The sequence below is a fragment of the Homo sapiens genome, chromosome 7, assembly GCF_000001405.40.
Source record: "Homo sapiens chromosome 7, GRCh38.p14 Primary Assembly".
Classification (NCBI taxonomy): domain Eukaryota; kingdom Metazoa; phylum Chordata; class Mammalia; order Primates; family Hominidae; genus Homo; species Homo sapiens.
In genome coordinates this window covers 44,639,377-44,654,430 of record NC_000007.14, presented here as the reverse complement: position 1 = coordinate 44,654,430, position 15,054 = coordinate 44,639,377, and the positions used below count along the sequence as shown (strand labels likewise).

Genomic DNA, 15,054 nt, shown 5'->3' with positions numbered 1-15,054 from the left:
ATATGTGGAAACTTTGTCATGACTCGCTGTGCTGTTAATGACAGCAGGTTGTCAGAGAAAGGCAAGAACTAAGTAGTTGACATTTTGCCACATTTTTCAACTTTTAAATTGACTTTTTAACTATTTAACTCACGTTCATTTCCTAAAATGGTATTAGCAATTTGTAAACATCAATGGTAAATGGGAGAGAAGTTTCACACTTTCTTCCCATTTATTTATACAATTGGTTTTTAATTCTCTTTTAATTATGTTTAAATCTCACATTAAAGTACATCTCACGGAGCGTGGTGGCTCATGCCTATAATCCCAGCACTTTGGGAGACCAAAGCAGGTGGATCACTTGAGCTCAGGAGTTTGAGACCAGGCTGGACAACATGGTGAAACACCGTCTCTACTAAAAATACAAAAATTAACCAGGCATAGTGGCACATGCTTGTAATCCCAGTTATGTGGGAGGCTGAAGCAGGAGGATTGCTTGAACCTGGGAGGCAGAGGTTGCAGTGAGCTGAGATCCTGCCACTGCACTCCAGCCTGGGCAACAGAGCGAGACTCCGTCTCAAAAAAAAATAAAATAAAATAAAAATAAAAAAAAACAAATTTAATTAGGCCAGGCACAGTGGCTCACGCCTGTAATCCCAGCACTTTGTGAGGCCTAGGCAGGTGGATTACATGAGGTCAGGAGTTCGAGACCAGCCTGGCCAACATGGTAAAACCCTGTCTCTACTAAAAATACAAAAATTAGCCTGGTGTGGTGGCGCATGCCTGTAGTCTCAGCTACTCAGGAGGCTAAGGCAGGAGAATTGGTTGAATCTGGAAGGAGAGGTTGCAGTGAGTCGAGATCGTGCCACTGCATTCCAGCCTGGGCTACAGAAAGAGACTGTCTCAAAAAACAAAACAACAACAAAAAACCCAGTAAAGTACATCTCAATCATTTTTGTCACTGTGAAAAGTTATACTCAGAATTTATACCGAAACCACAGACAGTGGCATTTTTAAGTGGGAAACTAATTCGAATGCTACACTTGAAAGATAAAATTGGGCCAGGCGCAGTGGCTCACCTCTGTAATCCCAACACTTTGGGAGTCCGAGACGGGCGACTCACTTGAGGCCAGGAGTTCAAGGCCAGCCTGACCAACACAGTGAAACCCCTTCTCTACTAAAAATACAAAAATTAGCCGGGCATGGTGGTGCACATCTGTAATCCTGGCTACTTGAGAGGCTGAGGCACGAGAATCACTTGAACCTGGAGGTGGAGGTTGCAGTGAGCTGACATTGCACCACTGCACTCCAGCCTGGGCGACAGAGTAAGACTCTGTCTCAAAAAACAAAAATAATAATTAAAAAAAACCAAACAACAGCAAGAAAAAACTGAGGGCAAGAATTTCTAATTAAGCAGGAGTTTCTAACTGTTTCTAATTAGGCAAATGAGTGGGCCTCACTGTCTAGACCTTTCCATTGATAATACTCTGGTTCTAGTGTTTTGCAATATACACCCATATCTACCGTGGTACCCCAACTGATGACCCTTCTTCAAGAGCCAGTGGAAAAAGACTCCCTAGGAGCCCTCCTACCAGAAGACGTTGGGCTGCCACTACCTCCCACTCTGACTGGATCCATTCAGGGATATTATAACATGAGGTTGGTGCCTCATTCTCCAGATCTGCAAATTTGCTGTCAAGGAACCTCACTATGGAATGTGAGTGAAGAGAAATGTGTATTTAATACATGTCAGCTGGGCGCGGTGGCTCACTGCTGTAATTCTAGCACTCTGAAAGGCCAAGGCAGGAGGGTTGCTTGAGCCCAGGAGTCTGAGACGAGCCTGGGCAACATAATAAGACCCTGTCTCTATTTTAAAAATAAAATAAAATAAAAAAATAAAGTATCTCATGTTGGAACTCTCAACCCTCTTTCCCCAGGGAAATGAGGTTTATAGTATAGCCTGGCACAAATTAAGATGGGCATCTGGAGATTTACCTGGAAACTGGCCCCTAACTTTAACACTTCATTAAAAAGTTATCTCTGGCCAGGTGCGGTAGCTCACACATGTAATCCCAGCACTTTGGGAGGCTGAGGCGAGGGCATCACCTGAGGTCAGGAGTTCAAGACCAGCCTGGCCAATATGGTGAAACCCGGTCTCTACTAAAAATACAAAAAATTAGCTGGGCATGGTGGTGGGTGCCTGTAATCCCAGCTACTTGGGAGGCTGAGGCAGGAGAATTGCTTGAACCCGGGAGGCGGAGATTGCAGTGAAATGAGGTCGTGCCATTGCACTCCAGCCTGGGCAACAAGAGCGAAACTCCATCTCAAAAAAAAAAAACTTATCTCTGTTCCAGCCATCACCTGGCACAATTACGGAACATAATTCACACATAATTGAGAAACTGTTCTAAAATTAATTTTAAAAATTGTTAATGAAAATAATCACTAGGCTGGGCACGGTGGCTCACTCCTGTAATCCCAGCACTTTGGGAGGCGGAGGCAGGTGGAGTGCTTGAGCTCAGAGGAGTTTGAGAACAGCCTGGGCAACGTGGTGAAACCCTGTCTCTACTTAAATTTTAGAAATTTAATTAGGCTGGGTGTGGTGGCTCATGCCTGTAATCCCAGCACTTTGGGAGGCCAAGGCAGGTGGATCACCTGAGGTCAGGCGTACGAGATCAGCCTGGCAACATGGTGAAACATGGTCCCTACTAAAAATACAAAAATTAGCTGGACATGATGATGGGTGCCTGTAATCCCAGCTACTCAGGAGGTTGAGGCAGGAGAATCACTTGAACCCGGGAGGCGGAGAGTGCAGTGAGCCGAGATGGTGCCATTGCACTCCAGCCTGGGCAAAAGAGCAAAATTCCATCTCAAATAATAATAATAATAAACCACTGGCCCTACCATCTCAACAATATTTTTTACTGTATTCATAACAAGTTCTGTCATGCTACACTTGAAAGATAAAACTGAGGGCAAGAGTGTGTCCATAACATCTGATGGTAAATCCTGACACTCTGGCGCTACTGTGGAGTTCTGTGTCTGTACAGTCTCTCCTAACTGGTAAGAGTCTACTTGTTAATTATCTTTCCTTATTACTTCAGGGACCAGGAGAATTTCTGAGAAGTGAAGACAGGTGCCCTAAGCCAGGATTTCCCAAACTTTTCAAAAATGGTCATAAAAGGTCAACTCAGTGGAAACTATAGCATATATTCCACTTTATTAAAAAACTCAGAGTGGACAGAATTCCCTGCTTGCACTGCAGACCAAACTGGCCAACCACCCAGGTGCTCAGCTGGCAGACTGTTTTCAGGGCAGCATCATCAGTGCCCTTTGAGAATGAATGGCTTTGCCAACGGCTCCTGCCCTCCATCACTGCCCCCTACCTGGAGCTTTTCCAACAAAAGACAGAACAAGCTCTGACGGAAGCACCAAAGGCTATGTTCCAACATGGGTATGATCACTGCTGTGAGCCTGTTTCCCCAAGGAGAGGGAGAAACTGTGCCTGCATCCACAGGGAGGTGGGAAGGGCGGCTAAGCGGAGGCATGGCAAGAATCCTAGCTCTGGGGAAATAGTCATGTGACACAGTACACCACTACACAACAGTCCCTGACCCGTCTACACACTGGTCAGGTCACCAGGTTGCCATTCAGCCTATCCCCTTCTACTGCCTCATTCCTAAGCTGGCAAACAGTTCTCCTGGGCCCCAAACATCCCCCATACAGAGTCCTCACTTCTTAGTTTGCAAACTCCTGCACTAGATGCTACGCTGCTTCCTTATAATTTGGCTACAGGGCAGTCTTCACCACTAACTCCTGTGTGTTCCTGGTCTTTTTGCTTGACCTCTCAGTTTCTGAATTTATCTTATTATCAGAGAGTTTGGCAGCTACTCATCTCAAAAGATTGCTAGTAAGCCCACTTGGAGCATAGTTAAGGTCAAGGCACTACTTTAAGGAGTTTATTCAATTTTGAAACCACCTGAGGAGGTAGGTACCATCACCCCTGCCTTACAGATGAGGTGATGAGGCACAGAGAGGTTAAGCAACTAGCCCAAGGTCACACAGCTAGTAATAGTGGGCTGGGATTCCAATGCAGGGAGTGTGGCTCCAGAGTCCCGGCTCTCTGAGGTTCAAATGAGACGACGGGTCTTGAAGTGTTCTACAAACTGTCTAGCGGTCACATCTGACCTGCTGTTTTCTTGAAGACCTGCATACATCAAGGGTGAGAGTTCGAGACCAATTTTCCTACAGATACAAATGTTTTAACAAGTTTACGCGGTTTCCATTTTTTGTACCTGAAGACTAGTGGGATTTTTAGGTCACACTATTTCAAATCCACAGGATTAAAATGCACCTTCCTCTTGAAACGTGGAGACTACTCCCTGACTCTCTCTCTCAGTGGTTCCAAAGGGCTCCTGGCCAGAGATGTCAGAAGTTTTCCTCCTCAAAGGATTTCAGGAAGCTTTAGGGCCACTTCTGTATGTTTTAGTTTCTTGGTTTATAAAGTCCTCTTGTCCTCTCACCCTCACCATGATGTTGTTGCTGAATCTGGAACCACAAACCTCACAGAAATACTGAGGACACTATTCCAGAGTGAAATATATGGTAAGACCTTGTGATGGCCTGGGAAGAGATTCCCAGATTCTGGCCCTGCCTCGGCCACTAATGAGATGGGAAATTAGTGCGTATGTTGACAGTGCTTAGGGTTTCTCACCCTTAAAAGACTATGCTGGGTTGGGTTTACCTAGGTGTGGCCCCTCTTGATATTAGTCTGAAGGGGAAGAGAGGAGAGCTTTAGAGCTCCCCTGGTTATACTAACGTGCACAGTTGGGACAAAGAGCTGGGACAATGCAGGTTCTGGAAGGAGAGGGAGAAGTCAGTCACTTCATCTGCTCCTCTCCTGTTCGAATGTTTTGCTGCTTGTAAAAAATGAGCATTCCAGCCAGGCGCGGTGGCTCACACCAGTAATCTCAGCACTTTGGGAGGCTGAGGTGGGCGACATGGTGAAACCCCGTTTCTACTAAAAATACAAAAATTAGCTGGGTGTGGTGGTGCGCTCCTGTAGTCCCAGCTACTCAGGAGGCTGAGGCAGGAGAACTGCTTGAACCTGGGAGGCAGAGGTTGCAGTGAGCCGAGATTATGCTGCTGCACTCCAGCCTGGGTGACAGAGCAAGACCCCATCTCAAAAAAAAAAAAAAAAAAAAAACAACAGAAAATGAGCATTCCGCAGCTCTCCTACCCTGCCTAAATGCAGAGGGAGGTTTTCCTCTGAAGAGGTGGCTTCCAGATGCAAGTCCCTGTGCTCTTCATCAGGGAGCAGCAAGTCTACCAGCTGGGGAGTTTGGCCTGCTCTGAGCACCTGAAGAGGATCCCACAGGTCTAGAAGTCTCTGGGGGCTGGAGAGGCACAGGGCAGACAGGCTGTGATGGGACTGGGGGTGCCAGCAGGGAGGTTTGCTGTACTAAGGGGTGAGCAGTAGGGAAGAGGCTCCAAGACCTCCGGGGACACTGCAAAGAGAGGCCCTCTTCTTGGGAGCACAAAGTTGTCACCACGGAATGAAAAAGCAGGGTTCAACTCATGCCCAGTCTACCATCTGAACTGGCCTTAATCAATAAAATTCAAGAGGATTTCTCTAAACTCCCTTCCTAAATCCGCTAAAGGGCTGGTATTAAAAAAACAATTACAAACCATCAATGCCAATTCCAAAGTCAATGATGTTTGATGATTAATGCCTCATCCCCTAGACATAACTTAGTAATGCCTATAAAGATATCCAGGCACTGCAGAGCCTTAGAGACTGTCTGTACCATTCCCCAAAAGTGCCTGTGAGGAGGCTAATTTCGTACCCATCCCAAGAGGAGTATTAGGCAAGTAAGTGATCATCAATTTCATCAGCATGCACAGTGTCTATTGTGAACACCCTGGCCATTTAAAAATTAGTCACATCATCATTTCTTTAGTACAGGTTAGCAGCACAGTGACATAAAGCAGACTAACTCTGCAAAGCAACTGCAGGTGAGAGCCCAGCCACAACACCCACCTCACTTCATGAGGAGGAGGGGGTGTAGGTGGGACTATCTTCTGGCAACCGTGACAAAACCCCAGTGTGCTCCATACATGCACCTCCCAAAGGCCCTGACCTCCTGACGCTGTGGGAATGCCTTCCAAAGTTTCCTCAGTGTGATCACCAGCAATTACAAATCAGGAGACCCAACTGCACAACTTGCTCTAGAATTCGTCCCCTAAGGGACATGGCCTCCAGTCAAGGGCAGGCCACACTGGGCTTCAGAAAAGGATGGCTGTGTCAGCAGTTCCTGAGCAAGGCCTCATGGACATGCCTCACTGAAGGCAGTGCTGCACTGACATTTGAAAACCTGAAGCCAAAAGAGCTATACTCTGAAGTGCTTCTGATCCACCTGCCCCAGGTGGACAAGCTTTTTCCCTGTGCCACAAACCTTTCTGTCCAAAATTTTATTTTCAAATTTTGAGACTTAAGACAATCTGGCTGAAAAAGTAAGATAAAAATAACTTGCCCAAAACACACTAAGGCTACAATACCGATAAATTTCAAGTGATCAGAATGAAAGGAAACTTAAGAGCCTTTCCCTCCTGCCTGGACATCCTGGCTACCACAGGTCGTGGCACAGCGAGAGGAGCTCAAGCAACGCAGCTGACTGCTCTCAGACCCTCACCAAGTTTGTCTGTGGATGAGATAATGTCAGCGGGCACGGAGGAGTCCAGATCAGCATCCAAAATCCCCAGGGGGTCCAGCTGTGCTACATGGTGCCCTCGTATCTATGAGTGGCCAACGATGAGAGGGAAGGACACACACAAAAGGACAGAAGAAAAAAAAAGAGGGAAGGGGTAAAAAAAAAGTAAAATTACATTAAAATTAGCATTTACAGCTTAATTCTCACCCACGTTTGAAGAAACAGTTACTGGAGCATCATCAAAATTTACACAACTAATTCCGAGAGGATCAAGTTTTGCAATGTGGTGACCCCTGACCTGGAAGCAATAACACAAGCAAGTCATTAAGCAGATCCAGTGAGCTGTGGGGAGGGTTAAAAGAGTCACAGGTTATGCAAACCTTTTCCAAAGAGGAACACAGCACCAATAAACCCATACGACAAAATTAGTTTTTAAAAGTCTTGGAATAACTTATTTTAAAAGCACTATTGTGCATAAATGTACTTTTATAAAAAAGAGATAAACTCAGGTTATGATAAACTTAGGAGTCTGAAAGGATCCATTTCTTGTGATCTTTATACAGTTTCCATGGATAAACAGAAATGAGATATGCTGGGCAATTCTTACTCCAATGTGAAGCCTGCCTCAGCTCAGAACATAAACATTTCCCTAAGGTGCTGGGTACAGTGGCACATGCCTGTAGTTCCAGCTACTTGGGAGGCTGAGGTAGGAGGATCTCTTGAGCCTAGGAGTTTGAGGCCAACCTGGGCAACACAGTGAGATCCCACCTCAATTTAAAATAAATCAAATTTAAAGAAAAATTTTTCTAAGTAGGAAAATGAAGGCTTAAGTGTTGGCCTTAACTGGGGAGGAGTGCAGATAAGAGGTCATCTCACTAAGAGAAGGTTTGCCTTTATTATATATCCCCGTGAGGAGTGAGGGCTCTGGTCCTGCTGCTGCTGAGTAGGTCAGCACACAGTAGTCAGAACAAAAAAACCCTGCTACACCACAGACTTAAAGCATCTGATTTGAACTATTTAAAAACCAAAAGGAGAAAGAAAATCCCTTCCAATTTAAGATTCTTTCACAACTTCTTGCTAGCAATTTGAGAAGGGAGCAGCTGCTGGTAAGTCACTGCAAGATCAGGCTGAAGTTGTTACTGAGGCCAACTGCGTGCAGGCAGTGATAAAGAAACACCACTGGGCTTCCTCCTTATGCAAATATCCACATGGATAACACTTTAAAGCATATAGCATTTACAAAACTCCATGCATCTCCTTTCTAAGGCAGAATACACTTGCCCCAGGGAGAGAGCCTTACTTGCCAGGCCATGGCATGAAGGGCCAGAGACCCAGGACCTCCCCTATGTTGCCCCATTACAACACCTGCCCATGGCCCATGCCACCAGAAACCAAAGCATGAGAGAAAAGACAGCCCAGGGACATGAGTCCCCTTGTTGCCACCAAAGCAGTTACACAAGAACAGGTGGCAGGGTCCTGGATGCCCATGGGAGCTTCCAGAAGGGAAGCACCAGGCTCACTTGTCTCTACCTGTCGTCCTTAGAACTATCACAGATGAAGTCTTAAGATCTGAACTCTAGGCTCTCCCCATGTATCAGGTGGACATCCTAGAAAAACTTTGGTTATTGTGCTCTGGGAAAGGATGGGGGGAAAAACCTTGTCCTGCTCAACACTTGCCTAACGAGACTGGCCACTAACTGCAATACTTTTGGAGAGTTCCCCTGCCCCTCATCACTCTCTGTAGGCTCAGCTGTACCCTCAGCTGCCTCTCCCTGCCTCCACATCCCCAAACTCTATAGTATGGTTTTCTTCTCTTATAGTATTCAGTTGTTAGCAACTGAGAAGGGGGCATCAACCACCCAAAAGCACCACCCCTCCCAGTCACTGCTCACTGGCAGATGGGCAGCACTTCTCCTTGATGCCCGGGTACTGACTTGTTTTCCCTGCCCACAAATATTTCTTGCCAAGGAAGGAAAGGAAATAAGGATCCCTTTTATAAGGCAGGCATTAGTGGTGCTGGGAGATTTGCTCAAATAGGGCTAGCCTGGTTCTTTTTCTTGTGTATTTGTTTTTTAGCCTCCCAAAGCAGGGAGAAAGCACCTAGTATTTGAGGAGGTATAAGTAAAGTGACAACATACACTCAGAAAGGCCAATAGGGCCCATGAGGCATGACCTAAGGAACACTGCACCCTTTCCCGTGTGCGGGTAAAGCACCCGCCTTACCTGATATGCCCTGATGAGCGACTGCACTGCCAGGTGGTCCTCCACGAGCTTGTCCACGTTGGGCTGTGCTTCTACCAGGGACTGTGCATGGGCCACAGCAGCCAGGGAGCCTCGGCTCAGGGGAAGGGGACTCTGGTAGGCAGTGCCCGGTGGGGCTCCGGCATTCGTGTTGCGAAAAAAAATGTCCCATGACTAAAGACAAAGAAGGTACAGGGTTACCTCACTGCTCCCCTAAGTCCAGGATGCATCTGTGGCCACAGAGAACTGCTCTCTGCAGGCAAGGCAAGTCTACCATAGGCTGGCTGAGCCTGCTTCCTCCTGGACAGTGGGGTCTCTGTCTGTTCCCAAACGGTGGGTTTCTCTCAGCATTCAGGCTCCCTGCTTTCCACAACTTTTGTCTTCGGGATGCACTTTCTGACCCCCACAGCTATAACACAGATGCCCTGTGGCCGCCTTCCATCAACACACATAACCCAAAGGCCCAATGCCAACAGCTCTCCTCAGTTCCTATTCACTGGGCCTGGGGACAGATTCAGGATGTAGGTCAACAGAGACACTTACTGTCTCAGCCTTCCCCCCGGCCCCAGCACCTGGGAGGTGATCTCTTGACCTTCTGTCTATAGGTCTGCAAACTCTACCAGTTTTTCTGTGGGATCAAACACCCCATCAAACACCTCCCTCAAGGCCCCAAGGGCTCAGCACAACCTGTGAAGAGCCCAGGGTCACCTTGCTCATGTCCTTTCACTTCCCTGGGAACAAAGTGGAACCTGATCCTTTGTAAGAGGCAGCACTAACCCCACAGAGAAATAATATCATTGCTACCTCAGGAGAAACTCAGGAGCTAAGAGCTCAAAGTGTGGGGTCAGAGATGGAAATTCAAATCTGATCTCTGTGTCAGGGATCAAAATTCAAATTCAAGAGGTAGGCTCTTAGTGAGTTACCTTTCTGTGCTGTTTTCTCATCTATGAGGAGAGAAATATATACATTCTTCATAGGTATGCTGTAAAGACTACCCTAGTTAAAGGCATTAGCACACAGTCTAATACTTCACAAAGTCAGGTGTTAGTTATCAGTTTGAATTTCCTTAGAAAAACTATAAACTAATTTACTTATATTCCTACTATTTTTGGCTATTCCATGTCTGAATTATTTGATTTACAATTTGCAGATACTGTGAACTGTAATGGTTTATTCATCTCATACAAAGATGCAAGTTTTTAAAATATTTAAGAGATCAGACATACTAAGACTTCACAAAAGTTCATTGTAAAAAGAAAAGAAAAGCACAATTAAACATCAGTTTATTTTAATTTTTTTGAGATGAAGTCTCGCTCTGTTGCCCAGGCAGTGTGGTGGCATGATCTTGGCTCACTGCAACCTCCACCTCCCGGGTTCAAGTGATTCTCCTGCCTCAGCCTCCTGAGCAGCGGGGATTACAGGAGCACGCCACCAGGCTTATAATTTTTGTATTTTTAGTAGAGATGGGGTTTTATCATGTTGGCCAGGCTGGTCTCAAACTCTTGACCTCAAGTGATCCACTTGCTTTGGCCTCCCAAAGTGTTGGGATTACAGGCGTAAGCCATCGCGCCTGGCAAAACATCAGTTTAAAAAAAAAATAGAAACATTGTTTTTCTTTTCTGCAATACCTTTTCCAGCCTCTAAAATTCTTCCATCAATAAACTCTGATAAGACTGTCTTGAAAAACTTGGAGAGGCAAGGCAAAACTTTATGAGATCTTTGCATTCTCCTTCTAACAAGATGCCACCCAGATGTGCTCCTTGTCTGGGACATGGCTGGATATCAAATGGGTCTGTCTGAGTCTGGAGACCAGAAGGTAGAGATGGCTACAGAATCCAGTATGCTGGTCCTTAAGGTCTTCTGTTTTTTTCAGACAGGTTCTTTTATAATGCTGGCTAGGGCACAGATGTACGTCACTCAGATGGTCCCACTACCAAGAGCACTGCTATATACTGCTGCTAGACACAAACTAGAAAAGACACAATGATAATGCACAGGCCTGGACCATCTGCCTCATGCAGGGGAGTCTGATCTCTCAGTGAAATCTGTTTTTGAGGGGAGTTTTGTGGAATACTTTTTTTTTCCTTCCCTTTTTCTTTTTTGTAGAATATTTAAAACATTCTATAATAAGCATGTATTTTTTGGTATTCAGAAAAAATAACTTAAAGAAAACAACCACCAGAGATGTGACTGCACAGTATTGTGAACATACTAAAAACCACTGTAGCTGGGTGTAGTAGCATGTGCCTGTAGTCCCAGTCACTTGGGAAGCAGAGGCAGGAGGATCACTTAAGCCTAGGAATTCAAGGCTGGCCTGGGCAATACAGCAAGAACCCATCTGTTAAAAACAAAACTCCACTGAATGGTACACTTAAAAAATGACTTTTTTTTTTTTTTTTTTTTTTTAAAGAAACAGGGTCTTGCTCTGTTGCCCAAACTGGTCTCAAACTCCCAGCCTCAAGCAATCCTCCTGCCTCAGTCTCCCAAAGTGATGGGAATCCAGTTGTGAGTCACCAGGACCAGGCCAAATAATTACATTTATGTTATGTGAATTATATTTAAAAATTTTTTTTTTTTTTGAGACAGAGTCTAGCTCTGTTGCCCAGGCTGGAGTGCAGTAGTGCAATCTCGGCTCATTGCAACCTCTGCCTCCTGGGTTCAAGCGATTCTCCTGCCTCAGCCTCCCGAGTAGCTGGGATTACAGGCGCCTGCCACCATGCCCAGCTAATTTTTGTATTTTTAGTAGAGACAGGGTTTCACTGTGTTGGCCAGGCTGGTCTCGAACTCCTGACCTTGTGATCCACCCGCCTTGGCCTCCCAAAGTGCTGGGATTACATGCGTAAGCCACTGCACCTGGCCTTTAAAATGTTTTTACAAATCAAACTATTTGAGGTTTTACGGTTTTTACCTTTCTGGTTAATTTCTGGTGTATTGTCTGATGTAGAAGACAGATTTGGGGTTCTCTTCTGGCACCTCCCACAAAACCTATTACAGAAGCATCTTATACAAATGTAACCCAACAATCAGGAACATGAAAAAAGGCTGCAAACTTTCCTTTTCTTTCTTTTTTATTTTTTGAGACAGGGTCTGGCTCTGCTGCCCAGGCTGGAGTAGACTGGCACGATCTTGGCTCAATGTAACCCCCACCTCCGGGGCTCAAGTGATTCTCCTGCTTCAGCCTCCTGAGTAGCTGGGACCACAGGCACGCACCACCACGCATGGCTAATTTTTTTACTAAATATTTTTTTGTGGAGATGAGGTTTCACCATGTTGCCCAAGTTGTTCTTGAACTTCTGAGCTCAACTGATCTGCCCGTCTCAGCCTCCCAAAGTGCAAGGATTATAGGCATGAGCCACCATCTGGGCCTAAACTTTCCTTTTCAACAGATGCTATCAAAATGTTTGCTAAAGAAACCCAGGGTTTGGAATCTCCAAAGAGATTCTCACCTTCCTCCATTAAATCGGTTCTCATGAAAACTCAGTGTTCTCCTCCAACATGAGAAAAGGCAGTATTTCCACCAGAGGAAAAAACTGACTTACTCTTAGGAGAGAAAACAGAGGATGTCTCAGCATCAACTCCCTAGGCAAAGTAAAGGCTGCCTCCCACTCAGTCCATGACTGGTTCTGTCAAGGACACAGGGATCTAAAAGGTGGCTGTGCACAAATACACTGGACACCCTCAGGTACTTCTGACTTCATGGAGCTTTTCCAGCAGGACTGAGAGCTCCATACATTCTAGAAGCAGAGATGACTGGGGACCACATGCATTGGACATCCATCTTCATTGTGAAAGCAGGGATGACCAATGACTGCACTTCTTGGCCTCTACCCAGGCCTCCAATAACTGAGGACCTGACCTAAAAGGAGAAACCCCTTGAATACAGCAGGAAACTGAGCAGGAGTCAGTCTGGCTGTATCCCACCCCTGCACAGCAAGAACCAACAGCAAGCTACCACTGTCACGTAAAACCTAATCAGGCCAGGCGCAGTGGCTCATGCCTGTAATCCCAGCACTTTGGGAGGCCAAGGTGGGTGGGTCACCTGAGATCAGGAGTTCGAGACCAGCCTGGCCAACATAGTGAAACCCCGTCTCTACTAAAAATACAAAAATTAGCTGGGTGTGGTGGTGCAGGCCTGTAGTCCCAGCTACTTGGGAGGCTGGGGCATGAGAATCGCTTGAACCTGGGAGGCAGAGGTTGCAGTGAGCTGAGATCGCACCATTGTATTCCAGCCTGGGCGACAGAGTGACACCCTGTTTCCAAAAAAAAAAAAAAAAAGAAAAAAAAAAAAAAAGAAGAAAAAGGCTGGGCTTGGTGGCTCATGCTTGTAATCCCAGCACTTTGGGAGGCTGAAGCGGGCGGATCACGAGGTTAGGAGATCGAGACCATCCTGGCTAACATGGTGAAACCCTGTCTCTACTAAAAAAAAAAAAAATACAAAAATTAGCTGGGGGTGGTGGTGTGTGCCTATAATCCCAGCTACTCAGGAGGCTGAGGCAGGACAATCACTTGAACCAGGGAGTCGGAGGTTGCAGTGAGCTGAGATCATGCCATTGCACTCCAGTTTGGCGACAGAGCGAGACTCTGTCTCAAAGAAAAAAAAAAAAACCCACAAAAAACCTAATCAAAATTTTTCTTTACCCCAAACTTGCTCCAGTGCTAGAATGTCTACCCTCACACCATGTGACCCGCACCCCAAGTCTAGCTGTAGACACTTACTTAGTTCCCTGGGGCCACAACAGGTTCATGGATAGGGCATGACCCTCAAACCCAGTAAGTACTGGAGAACAGCACAACCCAAACTTTATTAAACCCCTAAAACATTTTCTTCTATTTCGTAAAACCCATTAAGTGTCCAGAAACACAGGGCAAAGTCACCCAAGAGCAAGACCTTAGATCAAGAGTCTCTCCAGCTGTACAGACAGCCTCCTTTATCCTAGGGGACAATATTCACTTTTGGATCCAGAGCCAAAAGTCATAGCAAAATCACAAGTTTACTTCTTTTCAATAAAATTAGCTTTGAATAACAATTAAAATAGTAAAACAAAACAAAACAAAAAAAACCCACCAATAGCAGCAGGGATAGGTATAGCTAACTTTTACTGAGGCTCTCTGTGGGCTTTTCCAACTTACTTAGAGCACCTGGAATGTCAATCATATTCCCACTGGAGAGATGTGGGCTCAGGCAGAATTTACACACAGCAGTCACCAGGCAGGGTATTAATAAGGTTAACTGAGTAATAGCAGAGCGACGCTTAAAGAACTCTGGTCACTCTAGTAACAGTGCCTCTTACCCTAGCTTAACCTTGCCAAAGAGAGCTGGGCGCTTCTGGGCTCAACAATAAAATGAAAGGAATTTCCAGCCACTGATGCCTGGGATCACAAGGTCAGGGTCAAGGTCAGCTCTCTGGTCCTGAGCCACAAAGGCTGCAGGACTCCTTCCAGCCTAGGCCCTGGAGACAGGGCGATCATGATCATCGGGCCTCCACTCTCTGACCTTCTTTTGTGCTTGGAATACAACTCCAGGTGATTTTCAATTGGCTGAGGATAACTGCACAGACGGAAATTCAGCTCATGCTGGAGGCAGTCAGAAAAAAACTGGTTCATACCGGTACTGCTGAGCTGCTGGGAATCCCCGGGAAGGAAAATGCTGGGAATGCAACTTCTGCAGCCTTTCCCTTATTCATCTTACACCATGCATCCCACTTCACTCTCCAGTTGGCTCAGTTCCCACACCACTGGGGGAGCACCCTGCCCCACCTTCAGACAAAGAGCCCATTCTGTCTCCAGGACTGGGTGAGCCCCCACACCCAACAACAGCAAGCCCTCTTTGCGCCAAGACCTGGAGGTATACTAAAAGGTTTTTGAATTGAGTGATAGAATGTTTTGTATCGAGTGTAGTGACTGCACACATTTGGCAAAACCTACTGCACTAAACACTTAAAACAAGTGAATTTTAATATATGTAAGTTAAACCTCAAAAAAGTTTATTTATTCAAAAAGGCTTTGAAAATGAAGGTCATTATTTGGCCTGCAGGCTTCACCTCCCAACAGATGTGGCAGCAGGAAGCCAGACCTGCCCAAGTACCAGAGCTCCCAGGCACCCACTGGCCCCACCCCTCCCTGT

The 15,054-nt window shown here is 46.0% G+C and overlaps 1 protein-coding gene across 10 annotated transcripts in view, besides 2 other annotated features; it reads right to left on the bottom strand.

Annotated features, from left to right (window-relative positions):
* The window catches only part of OGDH (oxoglutarate dehydrogenase), a 102,440-nt gene that overhangs the window by 54,636 nt on the left and 32,750 nt on the right, over positions 1-15,054 (bottom strand). For 6 of the 10 annotated variants that reach the window (XM_011515408.3, NM_001439008.1, NM_001439007.1 and 3 more), the window contains 2 exons: positions 8,913-9,104; positions 6,672-6,774 (listed from right to left, as the gene is read on the bottom strand). In XM_011515408.3, coding sequence (XP_011513710.1) covers positions 6,672-6,774; positions 8,913-9,104 — 295 coding nt within the window. Of the gene's footprint in view, positions 1-6,671; positions 6,775-6,896; positions 6,988-8,912; positions 9,105-14,424; positions 14,428-15,054 lie in introns of all 10 variants that reach the window. The other 4 variants (NM_001439009.1, NM_001363523.2, NM_001165036.2 and 1 more) reach the window with 2 other exon arrangements.
* Positions 8,491-8,991: an enhancer, noted in NCBI's record as "H3K4me1 hESC enhancer chr7:44685039-44685539 (GRCh37/hg19 assembly coordinates)". NCBI's record gives its function as "activates a minimal SCP1, AML or CMV promoter by ChIP-STARR-seq in naive H9 embryonic stem cells {active_cell/tissue: H9 hESC(naive)}" and the evidence as "EXISTENCE:reporter gene assay evidence [ECO:0000049][PMID:30033119]".
* Positions 14,458-14,985: an enhancer, noted in NCBI's record as "H3K27ac hESC enhancer chr7:44679045-44679572 (GRCh37/hg19 assembly coordinates)". NCBI's record gives its function as "activates a minimal SCP1, AML or CMV promoter by ChIP-STARR-seq in primed H9 embryonic stem cells {active_cell/tissue: H9 hESC(primed)}" and the evidence as "EXISTENCE:reporter gene assay evidence [ECO:0000049][PMID:30033119]".